The 11,294-nt window shown below is 41.0% G+C and overlaps 3 annotated features.

Moving 5' to 3' along the window:
* Positions 521-2,996: an enhancer, noted in NCBI's record as "VISTA enhancer hs1450". NCBI's record gives its function as "enhancer in: neural tube[8/8] | hindbrain (rhombencephalon)[8/8] | midbrain (mesencephalon)[8/8] | forebrain[8/8]" and the evidence as "EXISTENCE:transgenic organism evidence [ECO:0001131][PMID:17130149]".
* Positions 8,270-10,969: an enhancer, noted in NCBI's record as "VISTA enhancer hs1484". NCBI's record gives its function as "enhancer in: forebrain[7/8] | limb[8/8]" and the evidence as "EXISTENCE:transgenic organism evidence [ECO:0001131][PMID:17130149]".
* Positions 8,767-9,966: an enhancer, noted in NCBI's record as "BRD4-independent group 4 enhancer chr1:62046463-62047662 (GRCh37/hg19 assembly coordinates)". NCBI's record gives its function as "activates an origin of replication core promoter dependent on BRD2, P300/CBP, MED14 and CDK7 cofactors, and independent of BRD4, by STARR-seq in HCT116 cells {active_cell/tissue: HCT116}" and the evidence as "EXISTENCE:reporter gene assay evidence [ECO:0000049][PMID:35650434]".

The following is an 11,294-nucleotide window of genomic DNA, read 5'->3' as shown; positions in this document are numbered from 1 at the left end:
CCACAATGGTTGAACTAATCTACACTCCCACAAATAGTGTATAAGCGTTCCCTTTTCTCCACAACCTTGCCAACACCTGTTATTTTTTGACTTTTTAATAGTAGCCATTCTGGCTGGTGTGAGATGGTATTTCATTATGGTTTTGACTTGCATTTCTCTAATGATCAGTGATATTGAGCTTTTTTTTCATATGCTTGTTGGCCACATGTATGTCTTGTTTTGAGAAGTATCTGTTCATGTCCTTTGCCCACTTTTTAATGGGGTTGTTTTCTTCTTGTAAATTTGTTTAAGTTCCTTATAGATGCTGGATATTAGACCTTTGTGTGGTATCTTCTTACAGCAGGCCTAGCAAACAAATACACATGGTATGTGGGAGCTCATTTCCACATGCTCCATGAAGGAAAGACCTGTGTCTCTGAATCTTCCTCTGAAGGAAGGAGGAAAGGAAAGCAGAAAAGAAAAAAGGGAGGGAAGGAAGAAAAAGGGTGGGTCACAATGCGCCTGCACCTGCCTTGACCCCAGCTGGAAAATCTGCCTGTGAGCAAGGGGGCTTATACTTCTGTATTTAATCCTTATATAACCAGAACATGTTTGTGTATAACATTGGTAGTTGAAAAATAAATACAAACATATATACATATCAAAGAAAAGCAGAAAAGAAAATTCTTCTTCTTTCTCCAAGTCTCCAAATGGGAGAGTAACTGCTTGGTAATGTTGAGGTTAATAAAAAGAATACTGAAGTCAATAAAGGATGAAAAATGTTTCATTTTAATTTGTTTACTCCAACTTTTTCCTCCTGACCAAATAAGATAACTGCTTTGGGGCGGGCCGGCTCTTGTCTTACTTCTTCCTAGGAATTCACAGAGCCAGAGAGACACTGATGGAGGATGTCCTTTCTGGATTTGCTTGAGAACATTTAGAAAAGTTTCCAATGATTGGCCCTAGATGGATGGCGGCAGTAAGGTAATAGCTACCATTTCCACTCAGTTGTCTGGGCTCCAGTACATGATACATAAACCACACGCAGCCTCACTGCGGTTCGGAGGTTAAAAGTTATTAACTGAAATCAATTGAAATAAAAAGAGCCACATCTGCCTTGGTACACAATTAACTTCTCCAGACGGCTTTGGCCTGCACTGCAGGGGACACACACACACACACACGCGCGCGCGCACACACACACACACACGCATGCACACATTCTCACTCAGTAACCCTGGGGGAGAGCAGAGGCAGCTGCGGGAGCCAAAAACCTCCCCAGTCCTAATTAAACCCTCAAAGTTTCCAGGCAACACAGCCAAGGAAAAAATCATTTCCAAGCCGAAGACCCCCAGCCCCCAGCCCCGGCAAAGGAAACGGGTCGTTTGGTTTAATCAGCCCATGTGCACATTCTCTCTCCCCAGGTTGCCAAGACGGGCCTGTACCTAGCAAAGGTATTTGTGTAATCAAAGCTTCTGGAACTTTCCCTGCCAAGGCTACCAATGTGAATAGGCTCCTGAGGTAAAAATGTTCTCCCCGCTGGGGACGGCGCCCTTGAAGTCTACATCAAAATCAAGCCAGGGTCACAGCTGTTGCGGCACCCCACAGTGGAAAACTTGCAAGAAATCCCAGCCTGAACTACTGCTTTGCCTCAGGTCTACAGGAAACAGGCCCCAGAGAAGGGGAGAGAGAGAGAGAAAGAGGAGAGAGGAGAGAGGAGAGAAGAGAGAGAGAGAGAGGGGGAGACAGAGAGAGAGAGGGAGAGAAAGAGAGAGAGAGAGAGAGAAAGAGAGAGATAAACTTTGGGGGTGGGAAGACAAAGCCACTTGAGAACCTTGTCCTCTTCATGGAGACAGTCCACACCCACCCCATTCACCCTCACCTTATGTGAGCTGGGGTTCCCGCAGGTTGGCCAAGAACCACTAGGTGGCAGCAGATTAACTCTTCAGCTGCCAGGATGAGCTGGGGGCAGTTAGGAGCTGAGTATGAAAACTTTGTATCTGTCACTTCCCTCAAAGGAAAGAAAAAAAAATGACTTTTTCTGTACCCCAAAGATCCTTGGCTTGCAGATTAGGTATTGGAGAAAAATCTTTGAGGGGTTGAGATTGCTTCTTGGGTCACCTGTTCTTAGGCTTGAATTAGAGTGAAATGCAATTGTATGTACTCCATGTTGTATAACTTGGATGACACTTGGTTCACACTTTGTTCAAGGGACTGAAAGATCCTTTAAGAAATTTATGCTCACATTCAAATTCCCTTCAACAAATGCTAAATATAAGAATTAATGAGTGTATTCCATTTTCCAGGGACAGTGCTAATGGTCACCTAGATGGCCAATACCCCTGCCCTCTGGGAGTTAATGGGGAAGACAGGCATTAAAAAAAAATAGCATTCTTGCACTTAACCACTTTGGATGAGTCAAGGAATCCAGACTTAAATCTGCTATGGATAAAGAAGAAAAAAATAAGTTAAAGGAATACAGGCTTATGAAAGTCATTTACATTAAGCTTCTGTTACATGGGAAGGTAACAGGTTTTTAGGGCTTAGGTTTTTAGGGTGGCCAGTAACCTAAAATATGGGAGCCACCAGAAAGAAACTTTACCAGCATGGTTTATATATGCTTGCTGTTCAAATGACAAAGAAAACAAATCTTTCTCTTGAGTGTTCTAGCCTCTGCAAAGCATCCCCTTGTTCTACCTATTAAACCTCTGCCACAAATATAAAAATAATGTGGTGTTGATTGGTGTAGGGGGGCAGAAATGTGAAATTGATTTACTTTAGAAAGGAGAGAGATCTACTAGCCACCAGAGGAATAAATCCAGAAAGCGGGGAATGGGGCTGGGGTGAAAAGACAAGTGTTCTTGTAGTTGAGCTTAAGAGAGTTTGGGAGGAATATGGAAAGAGGGAGGAAAAAAATTAGGAGGAGAGAGCCATAAACGTGTGATATATATGACTTGAGAGAGATAGGGAAAGGCAATTTTAAGATGTTTTGCTGTGCATTTGGGATTCCGTTTGATAGGCTTCAAGAGAGTTCAGTAAAGATTAAAATTGCCTTACAATTATTTGTATTTCTTCGACTGGAAAGCCGCCTAAGTCACAAGCACACACTGTTGGTGGAATCAACCCCCTTTCCTTTCCCGTTTGTCTAGGTGGTAAGGTAGGACTCAGATAATTTCTTTCAGGAAAAGCCATCCCAGTGTGTCCAGTAGGTTACACAAAACATAATTAGCATGCTAACCCTCATATGCAATTTCTCATTCCTAATGGGCAGCCTCAGACTTTTTGAATTTTTTTCTGTAAGTTCACCAAAAATTAAGCATCACAGTAAGACAGCTCTCTGATCCGCAGCAACTTGGGATGGTGATATCACACTGTTTTCTTGTATCATCCCCTGTGCTTATGCTGGGTGCATGACAGGGCTAGGAGGTGTTTGATGGAATTGGGGCTCCTAGTGGCCTACTCTCCTAGTGTCTTACTTGAGACAAGAACTGTTATGTCTTGGAGAAACTTATATGAGTTTGATCCTGGGGTCATGACGATCCCACAGGCCAGCCAGTTCATGCTTCCATGCTTGTATGCATACTTTTCCTTCTGCTGGACTCCCCTTACCCTGACCCATCTCTTTGCCAGCCAACCAGACTTCTGGTCTTCTTAGCAAATTCCTACTCTAAAGTGAAGACTGTTGACATGTCCTGGCCTCTGTGAAACCTGCTCTGGCCACTCACCCACACCCTCTTGTACATAACTCACCCCTAGTACAGCTATGTTGTGTTCCTATCTACCTTTCTTATTTTTTTCTTGTTTATTATTATTATTTTTGAGACTGAGTTTCGTTCTTGTCACGCAGACTGGAGTGCAATGGCATGATCTTGGCTCATTGCAACATCTGCCTCCCAGGTTCAAGTGATTCTCTCGCCTCAGCCTCCTGAGTAGCTGGGATTACAGGCACGCGCCACCATGCCTAGCTAATTTTTGTATTTTTAGTAGAGGCGGGGATTCATCACATTGGCCAGGCAGGTCTTGAACTCCTGACCTCAGGTGATCCGCCTGCCTCGGCCTCCCAAAGTGCCGGGATTACAGGTGTGAGCCACCATGCCTGGCCCCTATCTACCTTACTACAGTGAAGACACGAATTATCTTTCCATCTTTGGTGCCCAGCACAGTGCCTGATACGCAGGTGATGCTCAGTATATGACTGGACAAAGAGCTGTTATGTGACTTGTCATTCCATGCTAGGGAAGCCCAGCTCTCGAAAAGCCATCACTTTCCAAGAACTCTACCTAGAATTCAAACTAAAGGAAGTGCCAGGGAATTCAATCAATAACTCATGCTACTGGTTACAATATGTATGTCCCAGTCTTCAATTGCATTCTTGGAAGGAAGCTCACTCAAATTCACAGAAAATGGAGGAAAACATCCCAGTGAAATGACTTTCTGTTCATTAGAGCTGCAGGAATATGGTTCTCAAAGCCTCCGGTAATGGAAATTTCTGTCCCTATACTTCTGTTTCTGCCATGAATTATCCTTTGAATTAAAACATATATATATATATATAAACATATATATAAACATATATGTAAACATATATATATAAAATAGTACTCAATGCTCATTAAAGAAAATTCACAAAATAGAGAAAAGCAGAAAATAACAAAATAGTTTTCAATCAGTCTCACTATTTACATAGTGTAACATTTTAGAGTGTGAATTACTCTCTTACTTATGGAATTTAATAAAAACCAGATGACAGCTAGTGCTGTCTGCTAAAATCAGGGCCAGATTCACTAGAAAACACATAGGTGGATTTCATAGTTGGTTCCTGCAGCCACATGCAGGGAGTGCCTGTGGGCACACCCTGGCAAGCAATACTGGGCGGGGGAGCTGAGTTCCCGGAAAGGGTGAATTAGCACGGTTGGGTGCCTTTGCGTGATCCTTATGGGGCTTTGTACGGTGCCAACCCCTGAAGTCATGACAAGCCTCAGACCATAGTTCCTTCCAGATCCCATTCATACAATTACTAGTCAATCCTCCAGGCTTCAGTGATGGACACGAAGCCCTTCGTAAAAATCAGACCTCCCTAACAGCCTCGTGAGCTTTGTTACCTGTTTCCTAGACTGAACTTGCCTTGTGCTGCCACAATCCATGAACACTGGCATCCAGCACAACACTTTTCCTTCGGACCCTTAGTGGCAACTCAAGCACTATCACTTGTTAAGGTAATGGGACACACAGCGCACCAGAATGAAAAAGAAAACATGGCAGAAAGATGAAACCTTGTTGAAGTAAACAAATCAAGGCAGCTTTCAGACTGAGAGAGTGGCCCACCAGGATGCCTTGCCAGAGAGTTGGCGCTTCTTTATGTGCATGGGATGACCAGCCCTGAGAAAGCACACGCTGACTTGACACTACAATGGATTTATGCATGTGCATATATACTTGTTTTATTTAACCTAAGAAGTATTTCTGAGCCCAGAGTAATGAATCAGCACTGTATGTAGACAGAGTTTACCTGTCTCTTTCCCAGGTACTTTAGCACTCTTTGCCAGGTACTGTACTAGTAGCTGGGGACACAAAGATGCATATATGCATATGACAGTCCAGCGAGGGAGGCAACTGTGCAACTGTGTGGAGGGAAAGGGATCGCATATTTATCGAATGCTTACTCTGTGCCAGGCATTGTGCTAGGTGTTTTATAAAATTAGCACATTAAGTCTTCTCAACAAAATGTGAATCAGGCATATTTCTTTTTATTTACAAAAGAAGAAACTGATGCTCAAAGAGCTATTAACTTTCCCAACTCATACTGCTGGAATTTTTATTTTGTTTTGTTTTTTCAGACAGGGTCTCGCTATGTTGCCCAGGCTGATCTCAAACTCCTAGTCTCAAGCGATCCCCCTGCCTCAGCCTCCCAAGTAACTGAGATTACAGGAGCATGCCACTTCACCCATACTGAATTTTTAGCAAAATCTCAAAACCCACGACCAAGTCCATTTGATAGAGTGGCAGTGGGAGGTGTTTTAGTGCAGATGGGCAGGGTTTGAGGTATAGCCTCATTGCTGTCTTCTTTGCCTTGTTTTCTAAATCAGCTATGGCTCAGAAGCGACAGTGGCCTCAAAGAGCTGTTCAAGTCAACTGCAGCAGGCTGCCTCCCAGACAGATAGGACTATTTCTCTGCTTTGCAGGCTTCTTGTTTTGAAGGAAGCATTTAAATTCTATCTATCCTTCCAGCTAAGCTTCAGTCTTCACTTTCCTCCTTCCCTGACAATGCAAAGGAGTGAGTGGCGGGATGGATTTGATCTGCAGACTCCGATGGATTGTGCTATCAGTTGTGAGCTGCAGGTACATATTTTGATGTTTTTGAGTTCTGGTTCCTCATCCATACAATGGGCACAAAAGCTACCTCACAGGGTTATGATTATGTTTCTTGAGATGTAAAAAGTGGTGGCTCACCCAGCACATGAGCCTTTCAATGTTGATAAACATTAGCTCTTGTCCCTTCACTGCTTCCTGAGCTCCACTAGCACAGACCTTCATGTTCCGCCCATTCCATGTCTTAAAAACTCTGTTTTTCTCTGTGCATCTTAATCTTTAACCCTCCACTGCCACCACCACCACTGCTCCTCCCTGTTAGCCTTACATTCTTTGAGGAAGAAGACCATGTCACCTATGAGCACTTTTCAGAATGTGGGACCCATAGCAAACATAAAACAAGAACAAACAAACAAATTAAATATATGATGGACTGATCAATTTTGTCTTGACACTGTATGCTGACTGCCAAGTGACAAGCTGGAAGTGGTGTGCAGGAGTCACCTCATACTGGCTTGTGAGAGCTGTGTTACATTTTCAGGAACTAACTCACAGTTATTCAACCGTGGGTAGCTTAAAGTTTGCCATGGTAGGAGTAATTACACCACAGTAATTGGCAAACATTACAAATTGGAGCTTTGCTCCCTCGCCTCCCCACTCCCAAATACATGCACAGAGCCAGTTGTGTGCTACATTTCTTGATAGTCTAATTTCTGGTGCATCACAATTTGCTAGCAAGCTTCCAGATGATATTTAGCTTAATTGGACCAAAGTAGAAGCCTGCAGAGTTATCTTTAGTCTCCCAATACTGATAATAGGATTTCTAGCCTAAGAGTTGAAAATATAAAGATTTCACTTAATTAACCTTCCTGCCACAGGAGAAGTCTCTTCTATAAAGTTCCTGATGAATGCCCATCTGGTTTCTACAGAACACTCTTAAGGAAAGGGAGCTCACTTATTATCTTCCAAGGCATGCTTTCTCGTGGAGAGCTCCAAGATTATTCAACAAATTTTCATAATGATCTGTTCCTGCCTTCCCTGTAACTCCCCCCAGTTGTTCTTGGATCCACCAATTTTTTGCAGCAAAGCAGAACATGTGTACCCTCCAAGTGATGGCATTGAGCATAGCTGTCAGGTTGTTCCCAGAGCTCCTCTTTGTTGAGCTGCATGGCTTTCATTTTCTAATTGTTAACACCTCCTCACCATTGTGGTTATCCAAGAACTGAACAAAATATTCTGGATTTAGCCAGTTTAGTACAGTAAACTGAGACTACTGCTTCCCATACTTCTTCACAAGCATACTACACATTTAGTTTGTGTTGTACTTTAGAAAAAAAATAATTCTTTTTATGCACATTATTTTCAAAGTGGGCCAGCTTAGTGCTGTACCTACACAATTCATTTTAGGAACTCAACATTTTACTTTGATGGTGGTTATATGCCATATTCTTATTACTGATGCATTATTTTTTGAGTACCGATTTTGATATTGATCATATTTATTTAGCTAATTTTTAGTTTTGTGATCTCTCCCATAGACCATCCTATAAGTAGATTTTCAAGGTTATCTATAATATTTACAAATATTCAACCAGTTGGGTTTTGCCAGCTTACTATTACACAATACAAGTTTCTGAAATTTGGCCACAAACATACCATAAGAAGGTTTGTCCAATAGCTTGCTGAAATCAGGTATGTTTCTATAATTCCTTAGATGTGTCAGCCCAGTCACTTAATCAAAAACGGTAATGAATTTAATGTGGTATGCCTTGTTTTTAGGGAACTCAGCCAGTTTCTGGTAATCATCTTCTTATTTCCTAACTTGTTCATAGATGTATTTAGTAATCGATTCTAGAATTTTTCCCTGAAAAAAAACCTGACCAGTAATTTCTGATAGCTGTCTTTTCTTATTTGTTGAGATTCAGAATAACATTTTCTTTTCTTTTTATTTTTATATATGTTTTTAAATTTTGTGTGTTTTTTTCCCTGTGGTGTCAGGATGACATTTTCTTAGTAACCTTTTTGATATTTTTGCTGTTTACTTTAATGTCACATGGATTCCGAGTCACAGAATCTTGCATGTCCCAATCATATCTTGTGGAATAATTTTTCTTATCTTCTAGTATACCGCTGTCCAATGAAAACATGATGCAAACCACAAATGTGGGCCATGTATGTAATTTTACATTTTCTAACAGCCATGTTGAAAAGTAAAAAGAAATGGGTAAAATTAATCTTAACATATATCATTTAACCTACTATCTCCAAAGTATTATCAACATACAATCAATATAAAAGTCATTAATGAGATATTTTACATTTTTATGCTGTCTTTAAAACCTAGTGTATGTTTTATACTTATAGTAAATCTTAATATGAACTAGCCACATTTCCAATGCTCAAAAGCCACATGAGGTTAGTAGTTATTATATTGAATAGCATAGGTATAGACTTAGACTCATTTCAAGTGTCCAGACGTTTTATGATAATGATATTTTACTTTATCTTATACTTCAATCTCGTGTTCATGGTATTCATTATTCCCACTTCGGCATGAAGTTCTCACTCATAGTCAAGCCCTTGCTAAATACGAGTGGAGTGGCCTTGCTTTCTCTTTGTCTATTAATATTAACGAGGGTACCTTTTACAGTTAAACACCATAAAGAAAGCTCGTTAAGGGCAACAACATCCCCTAGCACACAAGTCTCCCTAGAACCACAAAATGGGTATGGTACAGAGGCCTGGGAGCTAATTCTCTCCAGATGTTTGCAAAGCGAGCAAGACCAAAAGGTGGAAACTGAAATTACTAAACACTTAATAAGGAGCTGATGGAACCAAGGCCCCAGGGTTGGCTCAGCAATAAGTGAAACAGAGACCCTGTTTGTTCAGAGGAACTTCAAAGTCCCCTATAAACTCCCAAGAAAGGTGAGAGGCAAAAGCACTACAGAGAATCCAGCATTCCTGCAAAGTCAACTTGAGATGCTTCCCTTGGTGCTTAAGAAGAAGACTTAGGGGCAGGTCTGGTGAGCAGATGTTTGACTTTTGTTTACGCCCATTATTACATACTGTAATGTGCATGTCAGCTATAGGCATTTCTCTAGCTAGGCCAAAGGGGACTAACTAATTAAACATTCGGTTGTGTTGTGTTTTGTTTTGTTTTTAAAGAAAGAAAAACTGCTTTTTCTGTACTAAGTATCACTCTATACCAAAACTATAAAATTGCTAATGAGACATAGCAGATCCAAATAAAATTGGTTATATTTATCTTCATTTCTTCTTCCTTCTTTCCCTCTAACAGTAGGATGAACAGCATGGAGTTTTGGCTAAAACCATAATTAAAAAGGAAGAAAGACCAATTAATTAAAGAGGGGAAAGACCAATTAATCAAATGTGGTAGCAGTTGAAAGTCTGACAAGCTATCTCTTTGGTCACTGTTATCTGGCAGGAGAAAGGCTTCCAGGATCCAACTCTATAGCTGGTGTTTTTTGTGGGGTTTTAAATTCTTTTTTTTTTTTTTTTCATTGCTAATAACTATGACCTGGCAGGTATATTCTGTTGGCCTCTTATATCTTTCTTTGGGATTCAGGGAAAGAATGAAACAATGGTGGCCAAAAAGGAAGACAAGAAATGTGATCAAAAGTGACCCATCTTCTAAGCAAAATAGCTGCCCTAGGTAAGAGTGGAGAAGGTGACTCTCATTCAATAGTTACCAACAGAGAAAAGGACAACCCTTGCCTTATTGGAAATGGAGGCAAAATCCCATCTCTTTGGACTTAGATATACCTAGGTTGGATTCCCAGTGCAGTCACTTACTGGGTGTGTAATTTTAGGTTGCTTAACCTTTCTTGGGTTTCAGTTTCGTCATCTCTAAACAGGGCATGAAAACAGTACCTCCTTCCTAGGATTGTTGCAAGGATTAAATAAGGCAATGTATGCAAAATGCCTAGCGCAAGGTAAGGGATAACTAAAGGTGATAGCCTATTTGTTACTCACCATTCCAAGTTTCTGTTAGCTCTCTTCCTGCAGGAAGATGCTCTTTTGGTATACATAGCTTTTGGTAGATTCCATGATTTGTGGATAGATCCGTTTCCTTCTTAACTGCCAAAGAGTGGATTCATCAAGGTTGCTCCTTGGGCTAATTCTCTTCATACAGAAAAGGGACAGTCTCACTGAGTCACACACTTGATGTTTTAACTCTGGGCACTTGCTGGAATCATGGCTCTCAGAAATGGTTTTCTGAGATGGATCATTGGCTATGCATTCATGTGTCACCCTGTACCCACACTTCCCTCAGTTCTCTTTCTTAGCACTGTTGTGCAAATGATCAATCACCATAATAAAGCATTTTACAAAGTCATGATTTGACAAGAAAAAGATAAATGTAAACACTATCCAGACAACACACTGTGAGGAGAAACATCTGGATGTCCACAGCTTGTTTCCTGTTGAGAGAGTTTGGGAACTTGGGGATTTTAACAGTTGGACCAGGGCTAATTTTGGAAAGTATTTCACATTTGTACAAAAATGCAAAGCTCACATTTATTACACTTCACTCATCAGATGAGACAGACTGGCGGTCAACTTCCCAGGCTTCTCTGAGAACAAAAGGGACTGAATTAGGAATGGAGTGGAGGGTTTTTCTTTTCTTCCCACTCACTCAGGTTTAGGGCACCCCTTCTTCTCCCTCATCATGACTTGGGTTTCCTTGATTTCCTTTCACTGATCTTCCTTTCCTTCTTACATTCAGTTCCCTTTTAGGTGCTAGAAATCTTGACTTGGAATTCTGACTTGGCCACCAACTGGATTGCTGCTCTTTGGTAAATCCTATAATCTCTCTAAGCCTCTGTTTCCTCCTTTGAAAGTAAAATCAATAATAATAATAAGTACTTGGCCTTGCATTTCATGCGATTGTATATATCAGGTCTCTGTGACACCCTCCCAAGTTCTTTGTGTATTTAGTGTTCTTTCTTGCCTATGTATATTTCAATATGAGGGCTTCCTTTTGC

Source organism: Homo sapiens, chromosome 1, assembly GCF_000001405.40.
Source record: "Homo sapiens chromosome 1, GRCh38.p14 Primary Assembly".
Lineage (NCBI taxonomy): Eukaryota > Metazoa > Chordata > Mammalia > Primates > Hominidae > Homo > Homo sapiens.
This window is presented reverse-complemented; position numbering and strand designations above follow the sequence as displayed.